Source organism: Homo sapiens, chromosome 14, assembly GCF_000001405.40.
Source record: "Homo sapiens chromosome 14, GRCh38.p14 Primary Assembly".
Taxonomy (NCBI): Eukaryota; Metazoa; Chordata; class Mammalia; order Primates; family Hominidae; genus Homo; species Homo sapiens.
The window spans coordinates 52,266,243-52,290,740 of NC_000014.9; the positions used below are offsets into that span (position 1 = coordinate 52,266,243).

The following is a 24,498-nucleotide window of genomic DNA, read 5'->3' on the forward strand; positions in this document are numbered from 1 at the left end:
ATTCTTCTTTTCCACCCTGTGGCCTGAATTACTGGCCAGACTTTCAGTCTGGAGGCAGCCTCTCTGTCTACCCTTCAGGCTTTCACATCTAAATCCCAAGGGTCTTGCTCTTTCCCTGAGTCTGTCCATCAGAACTGGCATGAGGCCTAAAAATGAGCCGTTTCAAGCCCAGGCATCATCTACTCACTTACATAACAAAACCTTAGTCATCCCACTGAGATTCCACACTCAAAGCCAATTTCTCTCACAGGGCATCGAATGCTAGTTAAAGATATAAAATCACGCTTATCACAATTAACTCCCTTGCCTTTATGATGCAGCCAAGTCAAAGCCCAAACAGGAATAAATTTTTTCTAGTAGCCACAAATCAGAGGAGTGAGAAAGCTCTATGCCAAATCTACCATTTTCTGATTTCAAAATCCATGCTAAAAACTGCAGTTAAACATCAGCTACCAAAACACCCTTCTATCAAATAAGAATCATGGTGATTGCATGAATTGAGCACTTTCTATGTACTTGCTCTTTACGTGTTATTTCTATGCCTCAGAAGAGCCAAGCAGGCCAGATAGATGTTACTGCTTGAGAGGCTAAGCAAGTCCCATAAGGTCACACACACAGTGAGGAGCAGAACCTGGACTCAAACCCAGGCCTATCTGATGACAGCAACAGTGCTGCTAACCATGCCCTTCCCCCCAGCTCTCTACAGTCAATGTGATTCATGGCACCCAGGACCAACACCGGCTCTTGGCTTTCCCACAAACCACTTCCCTGAAATCTGGACAACTTCTTGGGAGGAGGAGTCATGGGAACAGGACAGATGAACTCCAAAATAGAAGATCGGGTGAGAGGTCCGGCTCTGCTACTTCTGTAGCTCTGTCACCACGGGCAGATCACTTAACTTTCCAAGGCCTCAGTTTCCTCGCCTATGCAATGGAGATGACCGTGAATGCCCCAAATTGCGCTGATCTAGTAGAGAAGAGGAGCTAAGGCTCAGGGGCTTTCCAGACGTGAGTTATCTTTACCTTTCCTTGACTAGCTAATTCAAGACAACTAGGTAGAAGCCCTTTCTCAGCCTCCCCTCTTCGCTCATCTTTCGAGTTCTTGGCCACCCCAGTTCAAACACCAGCACCATTGCCCTCCTCTCAGGTGGCTGCTGCTTAATTTCCCCTCCACTTTAGTAGTTCTTCTCTTGCCTCGCTAGAAGGACTGGTGTTGGGTGCTTGGAATTCTGGCTATTTTCCTCCTGCCGTTCCGACTCGGCACCAGAGTCTGTCTCTACTGAGAACGCAGCGCGTCAGGGCCGAGCTCTTCACTGGCCTGCTCCGCGCTCTTCAATGCCAGCGCCAGGCGCTCACCCTGCAGAGCGTCCCGCCTCTCAAAGAGGGGTGTGACCCGCGAGTTTAGATAGGAGGTTCCTGCCGTGGGGAACACCCCGCCGCCCTCGGAGCTTTTTCTGTGGCGCAGCTTCTCCGCCCGAGCCGCGCGCGGAGCTGCCGGGGGCTCCTTAGCACCCGGGCGCCGGGGCCCTCGCCCTTCCGCAGCCTTCACTCCAGCCCTCTGCTCCCGCACGCCATGAAGTCGCCGTTCTACCGCTGCCAGAACACCACCTCTGTGGAAAAAGGCAACTCGGCGGTGATGGGCGGGGTGCTCTTCAGCACCGGCCTCCTGGGCAACCTGCTGGCCCTGGGGCTGCTGGCGCGCTCGGGGCTGGGGTGGTGCTCGCGGCGTCCACTGCGCCCGCTGCCCTCGGTCTTCTACATGCTGGTGTGTGGCCTGACGGTCACCGACTTGCTGGGCAAGTGCCTCCTAAGCCCGGTGGTGCTGGCTGCCTACGCTCAGAACCGGAGTCTGCGGGTGCTTGCGCCCGCATTGGACAACTCGTTGTGCCAAGCCTTCGCCTTCTTCATGTCCTTCTTTGGGCTCTCCTCGACACTGCAACTCCTGGCCATGGCACTGGAGTGCTGGCTCTCCCTAGGGCACCCTTTCTTCTACCGACGGCACATCACCCTGCGCCTGGGCGCACTGGTGGCCCCGGTGGTGAGCGCCTTCTCCCTGGCTTTCTGCGCGCTACCTTTCATGGGCTTCGGGAAGTTCGTGCAGTACTGCCCCGGCACCTGGTGCTTTATCCAGATGGTCCACGAGGAGGGCTCGCTGTCGGTGCTGGGGTACTCTGTGCTCTACTCCAGCCTCATGGCGCTGCTGGTCCTCGCCACCGTGCTGTGCAACCTCGGCGCCATGCGCAACCTCTATGCGATGCACCGGCGGCTGCAGCGGCACCCGCGCTCCTGCACCAGGGACTGTGCCGAGCCGCGCGCGGACGGGAGGGAAGCGTCCCCTCAGCCCCTGGAGGAGCTGGATCACCTCCTGCTGCTGGCGCTGATGACCGTGCTCTTCACTATGTGTTCTCTGCCCGTAATTGTGAGTCCCCGGGCCCCGAGGCAGCAGGGCACTGAGACTGTCCGGCCGCGGATGCGGGGCGGGAAGGGTGGAGCGGATCGGGATGGACGCGGCGCCAGGCGAGCTGCGCCCTGGGCCAGGAAGGTTTGCTGCTGAGTTCCCCAAATTGGATTCCTTCCACAGCCCCGAGATATAACTCAGTTTGCGGAGCGAAATGAGGGAAAGTTAGAGAAAGGAAGGGAAAGGCTGAGCCCGGCGGTGTCTCCCTAGCCCAGCAAAACCCTCTCCATGTGGCAGAACTCCCTCCTCTCTGCTTCCTTCTGGGGAGATCTCGAGGTCATTTTTGCGCCTTAGGAGGAGCAGAACTTAGTTTCTCCTTGGCAACAGGAGTCTTCTACTTCCCGACGGCTGGGTGATGTTTTATTTTGTTAGACCTGCTCATGACTTCAGTGGTATCAGAAATGGGCGAATGGCGTCTGGGACGATCTTCTCCCCGGTGTTGGCATAGAAAGGGAAAAAGAGGTTTAAGCCAGCCAGAGTGATTTGCAGATGCATAGTTTTAATTTTGAAAAACGCGTGCGTAAACTTTGAGACGCCACGGCTGCTGTTTCTGGTGCTGCATCCGCCAGGGATTGTGGCGATGGAGGCCGAGGCTCTTTGTATGTTTTAGCTGCTGGTGTCGTTTTGACAACCTGACTTGACGGGTTTTGAGTGTATCTTGGCAAGTGAGGTGACATGAAAGCCATTATCTCCGGTTTCAATTTGGTAATGAGGATAGCGATGGAAATGAAATTATCTCCTCATTTTGAAGGCATTTGTTCCTGGAGTCCCCGCCAAGACACCTGGGAGTAGGTGAGGCTTGAGGAAACATTTTCAGTGCTGCTCCTCTCCTTTCTCCCAAGGTACCTGTTCAACAAAAACAATACTTACAGAAATTCCATTGCCAATCCCACGTTCTCGAAATCCTGAGACTTCTGTGAATAGGAAAGTTGTTAAATTTCTTCTCAGAATGTAGCCATTTTGGATATTACTTTCAATGGTGAATGAAAGGGAAATACAAAGCGATTTTCCTTTAAATGAAGGCCTTACTGCTTGCGGAAAAAGAAGTCTGGGGCATCAGCATGCAGGGGTGGGAACAGTATGCCCCCAAAATAAATAAACAAATACATAAATCTATATCTATCTAAATGTAGATATAGGCGCAGATGACATATAGCAGTGGTCTTCAGAATCACCAGCTCAGAATCACCAGCAAGGCTTCTAGAAAAAAAGATGGCTGGACCCCATTCCCCAGAGTTTCTAATTCAGACATTTTTAAAGAATTTTCATTCTTAACAAGTTCCCAGGTGATATGCAAGCTCAGATTCAGGGTTCACATTTGTAGAATCACACTCTAAAACAGGAGTTAGCAAACCACAGCTCACAGGCCAAATCTTTCCTGGCCACTGTTTTACATCTCCCTGGAGTTAAGAATAATTCTTACAAATGAATCTCTGCAATCAATTTGATGAGACCCAAGAGTTTTGAGCTTCAATTGAGCCAAATACTATTTCAAGAAAAATACTGTTCCAAGAAAACGTTTTATTCTTCTCCTTAGTAGATACATATTACAAAAAAATTGTACTCAGCCGGGAGCGGTGACTCACGCCTGTAATCACAGCACTTTGGGAGGCCGAGGCGGGCAGATCATGAGGTCAAGAGATCGAGACCATCCTGGCCAACATGGTGAAACCCCGTCTCTAAAAATACAAAAATTACCTGGGCGTGGTGGCATGCACTTGTAGTCCCAGCTTCTCAGGAGGCTGAGGCAGGAGAATCGCTTGAACCTGGGAGGCAGAGGTTGCAGTGAGCCAAGACTGTGTCACTGCACTCCAGCCTGGGCGACAGAGCAAGACTCCATCTAAAAAAAAAATTGTACTCAATTATTAATACATTTTGAATTCCATCAAAAAATTGTGGAAATGTGTTTTCTCCCATGTTATATTAGTACCTATCAAATATTTATGATTTTGTCTCTTGGCCATAAAACCTAAAATAGTTACTATCTGGTCCTTTATACAATCTTTAGGAGCTCCTATTGTAAAGTTGGGGCCTCACTTATCTATGCTGTGACAAAGTAGACAGTAGCCAAATGCATGGAAATTTTGACCTGAGTTTGAATGTTTTAGTCAGACCAATGCAGAAAGCAGCATCATACAGTGGAAAGAACATTGCATTTGGACATGTCTCTACGGAGACTTGGATAACTCCTAGGGTATTGTGAGGATTGAAGAAAATCAATGGAGTTGAAAAAGATTTTCCAAAAAAACTAGCAAGTTCCAAATATATTTAATGTTGACAGCATTCTTCACAAGAACCACTATTTTCTAGAGAGGATAAGGGCTTTAGCATCAGACATGGTTTTGAATCAGGCTTCATCACTTACTAGCTATGGTAGCAGCTAATTTACCCTTTCTGACCTCAGTTTCCTCATCTGTAAAATGATTATAACCATACTTGTTTTGTAAGATAGTAATGAAGATTTGAAATTACATACATAATATATACATTCATCACCTAGCCCAGTGTCTTGCCTCAATATATTAGCATCATTATTATTACTATTTATAACTTCCATGTATTATTGTTGCCTGCTGGACATAAAAAAAAATCAAGAACGATTATCGTCCCAGGAGATAGTGCTATATACTAAGGCAGTGGCTCTGAAACTTTTTTTTGGTCTAAGGACCCCTTTATACTCTTAAAATTATTAATGACCCAGATGGCTTTTATGTGGATTAAATCATCAGTATTTCTCATATTAGAAAATAAAACTAAGAAATTCTAAACATATGATTGCAAAACAAGATAAAATGTACCTCTTGTGTTTTCCATATGTACAAGGAAAATGTGGGGATTTCACAATGATTTGATGACAATAAGGTTACAGAGATTATAGCAAGTAAAGTGGAAAAATCCTGTTAAGAGCACAAAAGTACTGAAAACAGTCTCTGAAAATTCACGTGTGTACCCTCAACCTGCCACCTTAAAAGGTCTAGAAAACACAAGGATAAACAACCACATATTCTATTCTTTGTGAAAGTGATGTCATCATTTGTTATCTAGCCTCCATAAAATTCACTGTACACTTGTGAGAGAATGAAGGGGAAAAAGGCAAATCACATGTTTGTAATGACAGTAGTTTTGACCTACTGGACACATTGAATAGGTATTGGAGATTTTACACTCTTCTAAGTAATGGACCTAGCAATTGTATCTTTATCTGAAGGGGGAGACATGGGTGACAATAAGCTATATGGTTAAGTTGACTTAAAAAGAAAACATTTTACATGAGTTTTTTTTCTATTTGCCCCTTTCTCCTCAAAGTGGAGTGTGGCAAAATATAGTTCCAACTATTTGAGAATGCTTGATTAGTTGGGATCTAGACAACTGAATGATACTAGCATAATTAAAACAAATTATTTTATTTTCTAGGCAGCATTTATCCATGTCAAATCCATTAGGTTGACATTCAAGTCACTGGATTTGTATTAGAAATGTATTGTTCATTGGGGCTGGTGGCTCACACTTGTAATCGTAGCATTTTGGGAGGCCAAATCAGGAGGACTGTTTGAGCCCAGGTGTTTGAGACCAGCCTGGGCAACACAGTGAGACCCTGCCTCTACAAAAAAAATAAAAATAACTAGCCAGGCGTGGTGACACATGCCTGTAGTCCCAGCTACTTGGCTGAGGTGGGAGGATTGCTTGGGCCCAGAAGGTCAAGGCTGCATTGAGCCTTGATTGTGCCACTGCACCCCAGCCTGGGTGACAGAGTGAGACTCTGTCTTAAAAAAAAAAAAAAAATACATGGGCATTTTTAAAAGTGCTCAATATCCAGAAAGAATTGGTGTGAGAAGAACGCCCTCTGATGGAGTTGGGAGTCATTGAAATAATGTTGTTGCCACCTCCTGGACATCCCTGCCAGGCAGCCCTCTCTGGCTTCTGATGCCCTCTTCTATCCAGTCCACGCACTGTAACACAACAGACCTTGCCCTCTGCTCTATCCCTTTAAATCTACCTCAGACCCTTTCCCTGGGCCCATCACTTGCCTGTTGTCCCTTACGGGCCTCCAACAGCCTCCTTTGAAAGGAGCATCGCACCTATTCTTTCTGCTCCTCAAAATGGCATACACAGGAGAGCTCTCTCATCTCTGATTTCATGGATTCTGACAAGTGATTAAATAGCTTGTACTTATCTTTACCTGGCTTACAGACCCTCTCTCTCGTAACGCCTAGTATATACACGCACACCCTCTCTCATCCATCCCTGCTCCCCCACCAACCTCCAGGACATTGTGGTTTTCTAAGGTAAAAATGATTTGGGTGAAAATATGTTTTTTTGTTTGTTTTTTGAGACAGTGTTTCACTCTTGTCACCCAGGCTGGAGTACAATGGCACAATCTAGGCGCACTACAACCTCGGCCTCCCAGGTTCAAGCAATTCTCCTGCCTCAGCCTCCCGAGTAGCTGGGATTACAGGCGCCCACCACCATGCCCGGCTGATTTTTGTATTTTTAGTAGAGACGGTGTTTCACCATGTTGGCCAGGCTGGTCTCGAACTCCTGACCTCAAATGATCCACCCACCTCAGCCTCCCAGAGTGCTGGGATTACAGGCGTGAGCCACCGTGCCCGGCCTGAAAATATGTTATATGCCTTAGAGAATGCCTCTGAAGCTCATGCCATATTCTCTACACTTGCACTTTCTTCCGATTGTATCAAACTGGAAATTTGAAAATTCAATCTAGTTAAGTGTTCAGCATTAAAGTGAATTTTAAAAATCATACTCCAACAAACTTTTCATCAAGATTAATCAAATACAATATTTATGTTATGGAGAAGTTGTTAAGATTCCCTCCGCCCCCGCCCGACTTCAGATGGGCGAGGGCATCCAGATTAAACAGCTGAGTCCAGTGTAAGGTGTCTTCCTAAATGCACTAGATTGGAGTGGCTGAGCCTGCTGAAATGCTCTACAGAGAAGAAAGTAGAACAGTAAGGAAATGATTATGGGAAAAATGCATCTTCTCCAGGAGATGCTCTCTGATTGCCTCGAATGGGTCCAGTCTCTTATCCATATCCCTTCTTACTAATGTTGAGTTTGCACGCTTCCTGTTCCATTAGAGTCCATTTATCCTAAAATGTATTTAGAATTGTAGGCATAGAGAATGTAATGGAAAAAAGAAAAAAGTGGCCAGCCTTAGGCAGAGTGGAAAGCAATGGTTGTGCTGATCTAGAGATCAGTGTTGGCTGAATGGGAGGAAAAGCTGTTGTTTGAGGCACTTTGCAGGGCTCCAAGGAGGCTACAGAGACCTCAGGGAAGATCAAGACAAGAGGAGTTGGTTGGACCTAGGTAAGGCAGCCTTATATTTTTGTGCATGTTTTTGCCTTCTAGATTGAACAAGAAAAAAAAAAAGGATGTCAACCATGAAAAAGTAACAATTTGTGCTAAAAATAAGTATAGCAATTTACATGAGTTGAACAGTATTTTTTTCCAAGTCATCTCAGGTCTTTTCATTGTCATATTTCCAATCTCTTCACATTGATTAAAAGCTTCCATTCTATTGGTGTCTCCATACATATGACATTTCACAGGTGTGACTTATTTCTGAGAGAACTAATAGGAGAAGATAGGAAGCAGGGAGAAGAAAGAAAGGAGAACTGAAGAAAGTAAGTGCAAGGACACTAGCTAGAAAGAGATTCTGTATTTATGAAAGCATGCTGACCCTGTTTCTAAAAGATTCAGCAGATCTTCATGGCCTGGCAGGGACCTAGAAACTTGAGCCCAGCAGGTAGAATAGCCTTCAGGGACTTAATCAGACTGGGTCTCCGACAAGTACTCAGCTTCCTTCCCACCTCCCAGGTCTGGCCACACCCCACCTTCCCAGCTCCCCACTTGCACCCATCAGCTGCTGTGGCCTTAGCTACTTGTAAATGTACCAAAAATGGGTGTTCCAAGCTAAGCTGTCATGTTCTTACAGTAACTTAGGTGAAGTAAGTGAATCCATTGCTGCCATTAACCTTTCCACATCATAATGGAATGTTTTTCTTCAAAACAGTATCGCGCTTACTATGGAGCATTTAAGGATGTCAAGGAGAAAAACAGGACCTCTGAAGAAGCAGAAGACCTCCGAGCCTTGCGATTTCTATCTGTGATTTCAATTGTGGACCCTTGGATTTTTATCATTTTCAGATCTCCAGTATTTCGGATATTTTTTCACAAGATTTTCATTAGACCTCTTAGGTACAGGAGCCGGTGCAGCAATTCCACTAACATGGAATCCAGTCTGTGACAGTGTTTTTCACTCTGTGGTAAGCTGAGGAATATGTCACATTTTCAGTCAAAGAACCATGATTAAAAAAAAAAAGACAACTTACAATTTAAATCCTTAAAAGTTACCTCCCATAACAAAAGCATGTATATGTATTTTCAAAAGTATTTGATATCTTAACAATGTGTTACCATTCTATAGTCATGAACCCCTTCAGTGCATTTTCATTTTTTTATTAACAGCAACTAAAATTTTATATATTGTAACCAGTGTTAAAAGTCTTAAAAAACAATGGTATTAATTGTCCCTACATTTGTGCTTGGTGGCCCTATTTTTTTTTTTTAGAGAGGCCTTGAGACATACAGGTCTTTTAAAATACAGTAGAAACACCACTGTTTACGATTATACGATGGACATTCATAAAAAGCATAATTTCTTACCCTATTCATTTTTTGGTGAAACCTGATTCATTGATTTTATATCATTGCCGATGTTTAGTTCATTTCTTTGCCAATTGATCTAAGCATAGCCTGAATTATGATGTTCCTCAGAGAAGTGAGGTGGGAAATATGACCAGGTCAGGCAGTTGGAGGGGCTTCCCCAGCCACCATCGGGGAGTACTTGCTGCCTCAGGTGGAGACCTGAAGCTGTAACTAGATGCAGAGCAAGATATGACTATAGCCCACAACCCAAAGAAGCAAAAATTCGTTTTTATCTTTTGAAATCCAGTTTCTTTTGTATTGAGTCAAGGGTGTCAGTAGGAATCAAAAGTTGGGGGTGGGTTGCAAAATGTTCTTTCAGTTTTTAGAACCTCCATTTTATAAAAGAATTATCCTATCAATGGATTCTTTAGTGGAAGGATTTATGCTTCTTTGAAAACCAGTGTGTGACTCACTGTAGAGCCATGTTTACTGTTTGACTGTGTGGCACAGGGGGGCATTTGGCACAGCAAAAAGCCCACCCAGGACTTAGCCTCAGTTGACGATAGTAACAATGGCCTTAACATCTACCTTAACAGCTACCTATTACAGCCGTATTCTGCTGTCCGTGGAGACGGTAAGATCTTAGGTTCCAAGATTTTACTTCAAATTACACCTTCAAAACTGGAGCAGCATATAGCCGAAAAGGAGCACAACTGAGCACTTTAATAGTAATTTAAAAGTTTTCAAGGGTCAGCAATATGATGACTGAAAGGGAAAAGTGGAGGAAACGCAGCTGCAACTGAAGCGGAGACTCTAAACCCAGCTTGCAGGTAAGAGCTTTCACCTTTGGTAAAAGAACAGCTGGGGAGGTTCAAGGGGTTTCAGCATCTCTGGAGTTCCTTTGTATCTGACAATCTCAGGACTCCAAGGTGCAAAGCCTGCTGCATTTGCGTGATCTCAAGACCTCCAGCCAGAAGTCCCTTCCAAATATAAGAGTACTCATGTTTATTTATTTCCAACTGAGCAGCAACCTCCTTTGTTTCACTTATGTTTTTTCCAGTATCTGAGATAATATAAAGCTGGGTAATTTTTTATGTAATTTTTTGGTATAGCAAAACTGTGAAAAAGCCAAATTAGGCATACAAGGAGTATGATTTAACAGTATGACATGATGAAAAAAATACAGTTGTTTTTGAAATTTAACTTTTGTTTGTACCTTCAATGTGTAAGTACATGCATGTTTTATTGTCAGAGGAAGAACATGTTTTTTGTATTCTTTTTTTGGAGAGGTGTGTTAGGATAATTGTCCAGTTAATTTGAAAAGGCCCCAGATGAATCAATAAATATAATTTTATAGTATTTTGCAGAGGAAATTACTTTTCTTTAAATGAAAGAAAAGGGCTTGGCTTTCTTTTTAGTAGACAGTTGCCAGCAATATTTCATTGTCTGGCAGTTTCCTAGTGTGGATTTTTATATACTGTCCGATTAACACTTACATTACTTTAAACAAGCTTTCATTACTTTACTTACATTTCATTACTTTACATTACTTTAAACAAGCTTAGGTAAGTCCTTAGACTCACCTAAGGACCTAGTGCTCCTTTTTGTTTCATACAAAATGTAGATATACCATCTGGATGAAGTCTGTGTTGAGTTAAAACCAACTCTTCGGTAATCTGTATAGATTTATTCATTAATTCATTAAATAATTTACAGAGACCTTGTGCCAAGCAGTTGATTAGGGGCTGAGGAAAGGAATAAAAATAAGACTCAATCATGGTTCATGAGTTGCTCGTTGTCCACTGGGGTAGAGAGGAATGTCAACAGTTAGGATACAGCATAGAAATTCTCCATAGTATTGCGAGTACGCATTTACTATTAGAAGAGGAGGCCCAAACTAGGGACCACGTGTAGGGTTGTCAGGAGAACTTCACAGGAAGAAGATGCATTGAAAGTCAAGTATTGAAAACGAGTAGGAATTTTGACTCTGAAAACTGAAAAGAACACAGAGAAAGTTTACATAAGAGAAAATACATATGGTTAATAAATGTAGAAAAATATTCAGCCTAATCAAGGAAATGCAAAAATAAAACCAAATTGTATATCAACAACAAGCAACAACAACAACAAAAAACCTATGACTCTCAATAACAGAGGTTATTCAGAGAAGAACATTCATGTTCCCCTGGCGAGTTCGTAAATGTGTATACCCTTTCTTGATAGCAACCCAACAGTGTATCAAGAACCTAAAGCGTTCTTTGCTGTTGTTCCAGTAATTCCACTCTAGCATTCTCTTGCAGAGAATAATCAGTAGTCCTGGACAAGCAGCAGTAGCAACACCTGAAACTTACTACAAATGCAAATTCTCCAGCTCCACGTCAGACCTGTTGAATCAGAATCTCTTGGGTGGGGCCAGCAATCTGGGCTTTAACATGCCCTCCAGGTGATTCTCATGCATGCTAATATTTGAGAACCACTGCTCTACACAAAACAAAAAAAGAAAAGAAAAGAAAAATACCAAAAAAAGACAAGTAAATATGTGATAGACTATGTTTCTCTGACCTCTGATTCTCAGATCCTTTCAGTTGCAGATAATCCCTCACACCTGAACTTCCACAGTGTTTTTATCTGTAATGTTCTCAGCAAAGTTACAGCTTTGTAAACTAGTTCAACCATTGTGGAAGTCAGTGTGGCAATTCCTCAGGGATCTAGAACTAGAAATACCATTTCACCCAGCCATCCCATTACCGGGTATATACCCAAAGGATTATAAATCATGCTGCTATAAAAACACATGCACACGTATGTTTATAGTGGCACTATTCACAAGAGCAAATACTTGGAACCAACCTAAATGTCCAACAATGATAGACTGGATTAAGAAAATGTGGCACATATACACCATGGAATACTATGCAGCCATAAAGAATGATGAGTTCATGTCCTTTGTAGGGACATGGATGAAACTGGAAACCATCATTCTCAGCAAACTATCGCAAAGACAAAAATCCAAACACCACATGTTCTCACTCATAGGTGGGAATTGAACAATGAGAACACATGGACACAGGAAGGGGAACATCACACACCGGGGACTGTTGTGGGGTGGGGGGAGCTGGGAGAGATAGCATTAGGAGATATACCTAATGTAAATGACGAGTTAATGGGTGCAGCACACCAACATGGCACAGGTATACATATGTAACAAACCTGCACGTTGTGCACAGGTACCCTAAAACTTAAAGTATAATAATAATAAAGTTTTAAAAAAAAGAAAAAAAATAATATATCTTTCAATACTGGCAGCCATTACTGATTCCCAAGTTCATCACTGATAGCAGTGATGAGACCTGTCTTGCTCACTTGGAGGTAAAGATACTACCCTCGGCAATGATATTTCTTTGGACTGCTGCAGACATTTAATTGGGCACTAAGCCTGATGCTGTTGTGAAGGAAGATAAACTAAAGAGCCTTTGTTTATGAAAATATTGTCAAAGATTATATTTAAAGTGAGCTTTCATTAGGGATTGAATATTTTCTAACTCTCTATAGGATAGAAATTTCCATTGAAATACGTAAAGCTATTTTTAAACTTTCATAATTTGACTTTTTTGTATATTTTCAGGAAAATATTATACATTGAATCTTTCTTTCCAGGCATTAAAATCCTTGAGGACTAGATAGTCACCTATTTTTTTCTCATTTCTCCTAGTAATTCACATATATACTGTAGAAGAGCTATAAATATACTATAAATATATTGAATAAAACGCGTTCTCTCTCATGATAGTCCTAAAATGTACGTCTATTCAATAAGAGGCTGCTGTATGCTTGGTTAAAGATTCCTCTGTATCTGATGAAGAATGTTCTCATATCACCATATAAGGATTTTTCTCTTAGGCCAACCAAAGGTGAAAATAGTACACGTAGGAGAAAATATTTTTGCTCTATATTATTTCCCACTGTTATCGACATTATGTAAGTTAACATGTATGTTTCAATTTTTATCCAGGAAATAGCAACTCGTACATGATGAAATTAACAACATAAAAAGTTTGTTAATTAGGCAATGTTAACATTGTAAAAACAACTTTGTCTTATTAGAACAGTGTTGACTGGCCTGCTCTTTAATTATTTTCTTCAGTGAGGCTAGGATTGCTGGTCTGGGTGTTCCCAGACTCTAGGTGGAGGAAAGCTGAGCACATAGGATGGGTGGTACTATAATTAGGCTTCCTCTCTCTACCGTTTCACAATAGCCAAATTCAGTGGAATGAATCAGCAGATCTCGCCTGATAACAGTGAGGTGAACATTCTAGTCTTCCAGATATTTTTATACAAACTGCACGAACTCAGGAGTAAGTCCAATCATAACAAACCTGCATGTTGTGCACATGTACCCTAAAACTTAAAGTATAATAATAATAAAATTAAAAAAAAAATTGCAATGAATGTGTTTAGAACCGATCATGCTCTGGTTAAAAATACAGGGAGAAGATATAAGCTTTTTTTTTTTCCTACTAAAATGCCTCAACCGGGGAAGGCAATAAAAATACAGTCAAGTCAAAGCTCAAATGAAAGTATATTTTAGGCAAAGCATAGGGTCCTATGATGATCTTAAACTGAGTAAGCACTTGGAATCTAATTGGAAACACAGGACAAACTAGAAGGTAAAAATCATACAGTGTAGTGCAAATGTTACAAAGTACTAAAGTATGAGTTATAGATTTTAAAACAATAAAGCCCCAAATCAGCGATAATTGATGTTTAAGATTAGTCTAGCGGTGCGTTGTATAAACACCTGGGCAAACAAAGTTGGTAGCTTGCCAGCATCAATTTCTTATCACTACAAAATAGAATATGGAAACAATAACTGTCATGACACACAATTCATAATGAATTTAGAAAATACTTTTTATTCCCCCCAAATTAAAAAACACCCAGAGTTCCCAATTAGATGAAAAAGATAAAGTACAATGATTTACTGATTATGATTGTGTGAAAGTAAAATAAATCTTGGGACCCCAAACTCACTAAACCAAACAGAAACGTCAAGCTGGGAACTGGGTCACGCCAACCTGCATCTCATTTTGGTTCCTAAATAAGATGGCTAAAATACGAAAAGCTACATACCTCCTTCACATTTTGTCCACACGGAAATTCCTTGGGGGCCCCAAGACCTTTTTCCTAAAGTGTTTCTGTTAGAGTGCATCATGGCAATGTGAATGGATAGCTTTTCTCCACAGGTGTGGGGACATAGGAGAGAACTCAGTCATCCCTCTGTCCACCTGAGACAAATGCATATCTGATTGTTTCCTCTGCTCTATCGTCTGCATTATCTACATATGTAAAAATGCAGATTCACTGAGCCAGACAAAGGCATGAATGACTGTTTTCCCCTACCCTCTTCTCACATGAAAATTATGTATTTCTCAATATCCTTCCCTTTCCCCTTTAGATATTGAAACCCTCAAAATCATCTATGGGGAAAGGAATAGACCTATCTCCCAGGTGTGTATCCTTAACTTTGGCAAATAAACCTCAAAAAATGATTGAGATTTTCCTGGGTCATTTTCCTTGATTGACCACGGAGGGATCCTGAGTGAAGGTGGCCCTGGCCTGCAGCAGCTCTCCTATTGGTACCAGATTGGGCTCTTTATAGCCCAAACCAATAAGACAATTTGTTGAGGTCTGGGACCTCCTCCCTGCAGGAAGTTGGGGCTCTGAGGTTTAATTTGATGTTTAAAAAAAAAAAAAAAACACCTCTTTTTTTTTTTCTGGGAGTTTTTGCTTGCTTCCATCAGGGAAGGCAAGCTTGTCTGCTTCTTCATCAGTGGAGAACAGTCTTCAGCTTGAGTCTCATCACTAGGTAAGGAGGTGAGTTGGGAATCTGTCTTGCAAATTCTCTTTAATAACTAAAGGTACTGTTAACAACCAGCTGGTCTTAATTTCTCCTTACATTTAGAGCACTCAAATTGTATAATTTGTGTGATTGCTGTTCGTTTTGCTTAGATGTCTTATTTACTTGTTTCTGTCTTGTTAGGTGTTTTTTTGTATGCTTCAGTCCTTCTCTTATTGGATTTGGCCAACTCTAAACCCTCTAGCTTATAGTATGGAATTTTCCTCTCCAAAGAAATAAGAGCTCGCCCTTCTCAGCCTTTCTTAGGCAACTGAGAATTACATGAGGGTGTCTGGAAGAAACACTCCCTAAGATGTGCAACGGCTCTGAGTAGGATTTCCCCTCAGAAGAACGTACTTAGGGTGTAATCTCAGCTAGCAGGTGCAAATAAGGAGCTGATCTCCCATGCCTTGAGCCCCTGACACACTGTGCCAGGTAGCCACGATACCAGTTCAGCGAGTAACGGCCCTGAAAAGCTAGGTCCCCAAGCAGCACACTTTGGATCCAACAAACCCTCCGACTTGGTCAAATCTGAAGGAAAACTCTAAATTATGTGGAAGGAGCCCTTTAAGTTGGCTGAAACCCCCACAGCTGTGGAACACAAAGTTCCACCCTTAGAAACTCTGGCCAGGTATATGCAAAAACACTTATGGTGAATTGTCATGCAAATATTTAATCAAGTGGACCACTATAATCAAGGCAGATTCTAACCTACAGAGGCCTAGATGGGGATCTTCTGAGATGCCCAAATTAGTGTACCTGTGAACTAGGATGCAAAACGCAGGCACAAAACTAAACAACCAGAATGGGAGAGCTACTTTCAATGGTACCTAGAGAGTAGCAAATGGGGGGAAGATCACCTCATGTCCTTACAATAAGCCAACAAACAACTTAGAAATGCTAACCAAGGACTCTCTAAAGTTCTATCTCTCTTAAAGAAATCCCCAGAATCCCTTACTTCCCTGTGGCACCTCCCCACCTCCACTTACACCCCCACTTTACCCCTGACCTCTCTGAACTTCCCGGACCAGATCTGTTCCCTCCTTCTCCTGCATGTTCTAATTTAACATCTTCCTCTCCTTGTACACCACTCACTCAACAGAAGGCAGTAGGGAGTCTAACTTCCAAGACCCTACCTCCTGACAATTCCCTGACAGTGCCAGTGGCAGCCTCTCATCTGGAAGATGTGGAAAAGGGGGACCCTGCAGGGCCATCTCTCATGATCACCCTGTTTTGGGAACAACCGGTAACACATAGGGGAACCCCGGTGATTGTCTACCAACGCTGGTCAAAGGCTGAGTTGCAGGGCATAAAGAATTTCTGGGCCCCCATAAGATCCAATTGAGTTTGCCCAAGAATTTGAATTCATTATCAGAACCTATGACCCAGGCCATTCAGACCTCTAACAGCTGGCACACATGTTGGTCTCGGAAGCTAAAGCTAAGGAATAGCTGGACAAAGTACAGTGGTCAGACCCTGTAGCAGACTTAACCCTTGAAGGCCCAATAGAGCTACAATAACCAGCCCCCAGAAGTCGAGAACACAGACACAAAGATGTGTGGGAATGAGCAACTGCTCTGTTAAATACCATTTCTTCAATATTCCAAAGGGTTGTGGATTGGGATAAAATCCAGCAATGCCACCAGAACCGAAATGAATCAATTTTAGATTATTTTATACATTTTGACTGAGATAATATGCTCCAAATAATTAACTTACACTCTCTCGCCTGGTCCTTCTGACGAAACCCCTCATGACTATGTTCTGATGACTGACCAACTTCTCACTTCTGGGACAGACTTACAAGAGATGCCACTGGATAATGCTGAGATAGAATGGTATACAGATGGGTCTTATTTAAGAGGATGGGGATGGAAATTTTAGAGCAGGATATGCTGTGGTCTCTTTACTAGAGGTAGTTGAAGCTGGTCCTCTTCCTCAAGCCAAATCAGCTGAAGGGGCCAAATTGATTGCCCTGACTCAAGCTTGTCGATTAGCAAAAGACAAGGCTGCAAACATACCCTGACACCTGCTAAGCATTTGGAGTTGCTCAGGACTTCGGAATGTGAAAGGAGAGAGGATATTTAACCTCCTCAGGGCAACCCATAAAAAATGGACAACCAACTCTCAGAGCTGTTAGAAACTATTCTCAACCAAAACTTTTGACAGTTGTAAAAATCCCAGGTCACTCTACATTGGACACCACTAAAAGTGGAGATAACAAATTTGCTATTGCTACAGCTGAAAAAGCAGCATTCAAGCCACCAGACCCAATCCAAAAAAATGATCATAAAGCCTGAAACACTTAAAAACATGTTGAAGGAAACCTAGAGTATAGCCCCAACAAAAGAGAAATCCACTTGGAAACAGACAGGGGAATACCTGTCTCCTGAAACTAAAATATTGTATGGACTTAATAATAAACCATTATTCCAATGGGATGTCAGGTGCCCCTTAAGGAATGTGTTAATAATCTGACACGATGGAATCCAGATAAAAGTATATCCTAGTGTAAACAATGTTACTGGAAACGATCCTCCACAGTGGCACAAAAGGTTTATTCCCAGTGTGCTATTTGTCCTAAGGATAATCCACGGAAGCTCCTCCATGAGGCCCAGGGTCATTTTCCCCTTCCAGCTGGACCTTTTGAGGTATGGCAGCTTGATTTTATCCAGCCGCCATCCTCTCAAGGTTACATGTCTTAGTAATGGTCTGCATGTTTTCCCATTGGGTTGAAGCTTTTCCCTGCAGGCAAGCAACAGCGATGGCAGTTGGAAAACTTTATTAGAAAAAATTATTCCACTGTGGGGAGTCCACTGTGAACTTTACGTGATAGAAGAACTCATTTTCCTGGTCAAGTTATTCAAAATATTTGTGAAATTTGGCCCATATTTCAACATTTCCATTGTGCCTACCATCCCCAGTCCTCAGAGCTGGCGGAAAGGACCAATGGAATAATTAAAACACAATTGGCTAAGTTCATAAATGGACTTCACCTCTGTTGGCCTAAAGCACTCCCCTGGTGCTTCTTACCCTCTGGTCCACCTTGGGAAACATCAACTATCCCCTTATGAAATTATAACAGGAAGGCCCATGTGTATGGGAACCAAAATAACCAACCCAACTTTTCTCAAGAGAGATATATTGCAGTATTATAAGGGACTCATTTGTCATCTTTACAAAAGCCAAGATTTGGTAAAGAATTCCTTTCATAGTCCACTCCCTGAAGACAAGGTTCCTGGTTATGATCTGCAGCCTGAAGACTTTGTCTATTGGAAAAGACATTTAATAAAGGACTCCCTTCAACCCCAATGGAAGGAGCCATACCAAATACTATTAACAAATCCATGTGCTGCAAAAACTAGACAGTATAAACTCATGGATTTACACCTCTCATCTTAAAAAGGCACAACCTCCTGAGTAGGCTGTAACTCCTACCAAGGATCTTCACCTGCAGCTCATTAACATTGAACTTCAATCCAGGACTAGGAGCAGACCATAGCTGTTGTGGACTGCTTAAACCTAAGACACAGGACCAGGCCTGTATACAAAAGAACACCTATGAAACCCAAGACACAGGACCAGGCCTGTATACAAAAGAACACCTATGTGTATTGTATGATAGCTATTACAATTATTGTCCTAGAGATACTGGCAACTGCTATCTTGTGCAGAACAGGGCATTTGCCTTGTCTGATTTAATGTCCTTTTAGTAGTTAAAATGAATTTCACAACCTTGCTCCTATTTACCCTATGTCTCTAAAACCTCTTGCCACTGTCACCCATTGTTGCCCATAAGACAAACCTGTTTCTACAATGGGCTCAGGATTATGCAGACAGATTATAAAAGGATGCCTGTGTGATATGCAGACTCATGCCTCTTTCCAGTGGCTCCAGCCTGCCATGGTGGGTATTTCCCTTACAAGGTCAAGACTAGCTAGAATACCAAAATTTATTACATCACAGAAATGGTTTCGTATCCTTAGTGCTGGCATAACAAAAGACTAAATATATATAATTTCCCCATTAAAAACACTCAAGAGCAAGGACATGGGAAAAGATTTTCAAGGGAAAGGACCAGCTCACCAGCTCTCACTTTAGCATTCCCCCAACTAAAAGAGAAGGTGGCAACCATGCCCCAAACAACAGCCCATTTTCAAAATGGGATAATGCAAATTTGGAATGGGTTTATCTGGTTCATCCCTTCATTTGGCCAACTCAGCCAAAATGCTCCTTTATGCTTGGAACGAAGAAACGACCCCAAGGACCAATGGCCAAACACTACAAGAGATATGGGGTGGATACCTGGAGAAATTGTATTGTGACCTGGAGAAATTGGTGGCAGAAGCTATTGCTTCCAATAATAATAATAATAATAATTTGTGTCATGTCCTGTTTTTGCTTACAATGTTATTATGGTATGTCCAGATTAGTCATCAACTGAAAGGGCTAGAATAATGATTGCCCAAAGAGTTGCTCTAATTGAGGAGGCAGTAGCATAGCCTGACCCAGCTTCCAGGTTTGCTTTCCCTTTTGCTGTATATCTGGTCTAGATCCCTATATTTTTAATTTCCTCTTACCTTCTTTCCTCCCCCTATTTTAATCTTCATGGGGCACGACCTGCTAAGAATGAGCCTTCCTAGCAAGGTGGGACCTGAATTTCTGGGAATAAACCATCCTAGCAATGAAGGACCAGCTCAAAAAAAAAAAGAAAAAGAAAAAAGCAAGCTGAGACCAGAGACACATTTTCCTTCTAAAATGCTTTCTCCAAATGATTTTAAAGAAAAAATGGGGGAAATGTGAAAATAAATCTTGGGACCCCAAACTCACTAAGCCAAAAGGAAAAGTCAAGCTGGGAACTGGGTTATGCAAGCCTGCCTCTCATTTTGGTTCCTAAATAAGATGGCTACAAGATGAAAAGCTACATACCTCCCTCACAAGGAAATTCCTTGTGGTCCCCAAGATCTTCACCCTAAAGCATTTCTGTTAAAGTGCATCATGCAAATGTGAATTGATAGCTTTTCTTCACAGCTGCGGGGAACATAGGACAGAACTCAAAGTCATCCCTCTGCACACATTGTTTCCTCTGCCCTATTGTCTACATTAATCTTATGTAAAAATGCAGATTCACTGAGCCAGACCAAGGCAGGAATGGCTATTTTCTCCTACCCCTCTCACATGAACATTGGGTATTTCTCAATATCCTGCCCTTTCCTCTTTAAATATTGAAGCCCTCAAAATCATCTTCAGAGAAAGGCATAGACCTGTTTCCCGGTTGTGTGTCCTTAACTCTGGCAAATAAACCTCCAAAAATGAATGGGACTTGCCCTGGTCATTTTCCTTGATTGACAATTGGCACATCCAAAAGAAAAATGACAGCCCCCTGCTAAAAGAGCTAAAGATAAAAATGGAACAAAGATTTATACTTCAAATGTGAACATAAAGTAATATTAGGCTAAGCAGAACTTAAGGCAGTAAGTTTTATGGTTAAAAAGTCAATATGTGGTCGGCCCCATGTGTGCAAGTTGCTATGGTGGAAGTCAAAGGGGAAACAACAATTCACAGGAAAGAGTACAAAGGCATCACAAAAAAATAAAACTGATTTCATAAACACGGTGATTCTGGTTCTTCAAAGACATTTCCAAGAAAAGTTGCTAAGGAAGGTGAATCTAAAGCCACATCTAAGAACTTTGAGAAAAGTGTCACAAAACCAGGGGAAAGGGTGCGAAGCAGTTGAAGAATAAGCAACAATGGGACAAAGCACCAAGGAACAAATTCCAGCCAGCAAATAAATTCAACAAGAAGAGGAAACTCCAGCCAGATGGCAAAAGTGGTGAATCAGCAGCCAAGAAACCCAAATGGGATGACTTCAAAAAGAAAAAGAAAGAACTGAAGCAAAGCAGGCAACTCAGTGATAAAAGTAACTATGACACTGTTGTGTGGGCAAAGCAGATTTGGAAGACTTTAAGAAGAAAAGACTGACAAAGAAAAAAGAGTAAAGTTAATGAATGACTTGCAGAAGTTGATTCAAGGGAAAATTAAAACTATTGCATTTATTAGCTGGACATGTTGGCACATTCCTGTAATCCCAGCTACTCAGGAGGCTGAGGCATGAGACTCCTTGAGCCTGGGAGGCAGAGGTTGCAGTGAGCTGAGATGGTGCCACTGCATTCCAGCCTAGGGGACAGAGCAAGACTCTGTCTCAAACAAACAAACAATTGCATTTGCAAATGATTCAACTCATGTGATCCAGTGTTACATTCAGTGTGGTAATGAAGAACAGTCAAAACAGGCTTTTGAAGAATTGGGAGATAATTTGGTTGAATTAAGTAAAGCCAAATACTCCAGAAATATTTTAAAGAAATGTCTCACGTTGTGAACATGTACCCTAGAACTTAAAGTATAATAAAAAAAAAAAAAAAAGGAAAGTATCTTGCACAAGCTCACGTAGCTGGTAAGTTACATAGTTGGGATCTGAATTCAGTTGTGGCTTCATGCCTGAGCTTTTAACTACTACTACTAAACTGAGAAGGCACTTGCTTGAGTAAATTATGTCATCCTCTTAATGAAGCATTATGCAGCTGTTAAAGATGATAGATGTAAAGGTTATGAGGCAACATGAAAATATAACTCATTTATTCAATAAATGTTTGTTTCTAAATATATTCATTTGCTGAATGAATAAAATGTTAAGCCAAAAAAAAAAAAAAAAAAAGAAATGTCGCATGTATGGAAGTCAACCACAGATTGCAGAGATAATGAGAAGTTTAAAAGGCCCCGTGAGGAAGATGCTGTGGCAGGCAGAAACATCAGCCATCATGTAGGACACATATAATGACAAAGCCACTTTGGAGCAGAGGAACATGCTGACGAAAGAGTTCTATGGGAACACATTTCACCTTTACAAGTCAGTCGATCACCAACTCCAGACAAAGTATTAGGGGTACAGCCAGAAAAATTAAGAGCTTATTATGGATGAAATGAAACAGATTCTAACTCCAGTGGCCCAAAAGGAAGCTGTGATTAAGCATTCATTGGTGCATATTCTTGGACTTTTTTTTTCTTTTTTTTTCACCTATGCACCCCCCAAACTCAGATCAGAAATGATTGAAGTCATCCACAAAGCAGTGGTATACCTGGCACACACACACACGAGGGCATGGCTGGCCATGGGCCTGTGGCATGGCATGCCCAAGGACAGGAAAGTGACTGTGAAAATAATGAAGACTTAGGTTGAAAAAGTGACTGATGGCCAATACTCTCATTTGGCTTTCCTGGCAGCATTTGATTGTATTGATGATACTAAGCTTGTGAAGCAGGTAATAATCATATCAGGAATTATCAGTTCATTGCCTAGCACAGGAAATGACAAACATGAAAGGAAGGTCCTGTTGTATTCACTAAGCCCCAGAGATCCTGTATATCTACTATGAGAAATCATTGAAGTTCTGCAAAAAGGAGATGGAAATGCACACAGTAATAAAGGTACAGAAATCTGCAGATATGAGCTCCTAGAATCCATTTCTCTAGCTTTGTTAAGCTTCCTGCAAGGACATGCCCAAGAGGTGGTGCTAGATAAGTCCGCGTGTGTTGGTATCTGACATTCTGGGATCTGCCACTGGAGATGTTCAGCCCGCCATGAATGCCATTGCCAGCTTGGCAGCAGTGGAACTGCAACCTAGTGGCAAGGACCGAGAGCTTCACATTGCAGAACATCCTCCAGGACATCTAGTTCTGAAGTGGTTAATAGAGCAAGATAAAAAGATGAAATAAAATGGGAGAGAAGGTTGTTTTGCAAAATCATTTGTACAGCATGTTGGTATGAGGAACCTGAAGTCCTGGGCTAGTGTAAATCGAGGTGCCATTATTCTTTCTAGCCTCCTCCAGGTTGTGATCAAGAAGTTGCAAACAAACTCAAAGATGGACTGAAAAGCTTGATTGCTACATTGGGAAAAAAACAAAGGCACCGTCAAAGGAATAGAAACTCTACTTGAAAAATTGGGCTCATGGGTGGAAAGAGTTAAGAGCAAGATGGAATCATTTTTCCTGTTCCCCATTCTGTTTCCCAATGCAGAAAAGAAGGGCTAGGGTCCACCTTACTGGTAATTTGGGTGCTCTGTATATATGTTTCTTCTTTGTATAAGAATCTATTTATGAAATTGTTTTTAAAATGAAAGTCAATATATGGCTATAAGATACAATCAATAGTGAATTTACAGCATGGAGTTACTTTGACCAAATAACATGGCAATGAAAGTACAAAAGAAAAAGCATTAGAAACATGAGAAATCAAAATGTCACTATTGTCGTGGATGATTTTCATGCCCTACCATCAATCAAGGTAGATCAAATAGACAAAAAGACATTGGTTTAAATATATTCATATTTTTGTTTCTATATCACGCAAAACTCAGACGGATTTTTATAAAATAAGCAGAATATGTTTATGCTGGACTGTGTTTCAGCATAGGCTGTGATACAGACCTACAATTCTTTGGTGATGCTAAAGGCAACTCAAGAAAGACAAGGAATGATCCTTCAAAGCAGCTCAAACAGGTTCAACAAGAGGCTTGAGTGGAAGATACCTGCCATATGTAAAACGGTACTGTGGGCAGAGAAAATGAACAGTGTTTCAAACCCAAGCCCCAGGCTGGAAATCATAAGGACAGAATCTCTGACTGTTAAATGTAGATTTGTGATCACGCTGCTTTATGCATGCAAGACTCTGTATACTGCCATTCAGGATGAGTACCATCAGGATTCTATTTCTTTGATAAAGATGAACGATTCTCCAAAACAACACAAGAGAAGCCAGATAGGGCCGGGCGCGGTGGCTCACGCCTGTAATCCCAGCACTTTGGGAGGCCGAGGCGGGCGGATCACGAGGTCAGGAGATCGAGACCATCCCGGCTAAAACGGTGAAACCCCGTCTCTACTAAAAATACAAAAAATTAGCCGGGCGTAGTGGCGGGCGCCTGTAGTCCCAGCTACTTGGGAGGCTGAGGCAGGAGAATGGCGTGAACCCGGGAGGCGGAGCTTGCAGTGAGCCGAGATCCCGCCACTGCACTCCAGCCTGGGCGACAGAGCGAGACTCCGTCTCAAAAAAAAAAAAAAAAAAAAAAAAAAAAAAAAAAAAGAGAAGCCAGATAGTGAGTTGTATCACTGTAGTAGGCAGCTTCTAAAAGAGCTACCAATGATCCCGGTCTTCAGGTCTCCAGGTATTCATGCCCTTGGGTAATTCTTTCCCTGCAAGCATGATCTGGACCTACAGACTTGCTTCTAAGGTGTGGAATACAGCAGAAAAACATCTGGAAAGTTACACCTTTCCAAATAAGCCTTGGTTGCTTGCTCGCTCCGATGGAAACCAGCTGCTGTGCTGTGAGCTGTATTGTGGAGAGGCTCATATGGCAGAAAATGGAGGGAGGCCACTGGCCAACAGCCAGCAAGGAATAGAAGCTCTTAGTCCCACAACCCAGGAG

The 24,498-nt window shown here is 42.2% G+C and overlaps 1 protein-coding gene and 1 pseudogene across 3 annotated transcripts; both read left to right on the forward strand.

Annotated features, from left to right (window-relative positions):
• Positions 1,456–14,672, forward strand: PTGDR (prostaglandin D2 receptor). Of its 3 annotated transcripts, none has more exons than XM_005267891.5 (3): positions 1,456–2,418; positions 8,489–8,741; positions 9,720–14,672. In XM_005267891.5, the coding sequence occupies exons 1-2, from the start codon at positions 1,573–1,575 to the stop codon at positions 8,720–8,722; spliced, it is 1,080 nt and encodes a 359-aa protein (XP_005267948.1). In that variant the 5' UTR covers positions 1,456–1,572; the 3' UTR covers positions 8,723–8,741; positions 9,720–14,672. The 3 variants fall into 3 exon arrangements, with proteins under 3 accessions (XP_005267948.1, NP_001268398.1, NP_000944.1); NM_001281469.2 differs by adding an exon at positions 3,209–3,299 and having other exon boundaries at positions 8,489–10,482; NM_000953.3 differs by having other exon boundaries at positions 8,489–10,482.
• On the forward strand, positions 20,526–23,192 carry LOC100131689 (pumilio domain-containing protein KIAA0020-like; annotated as a pseudogene).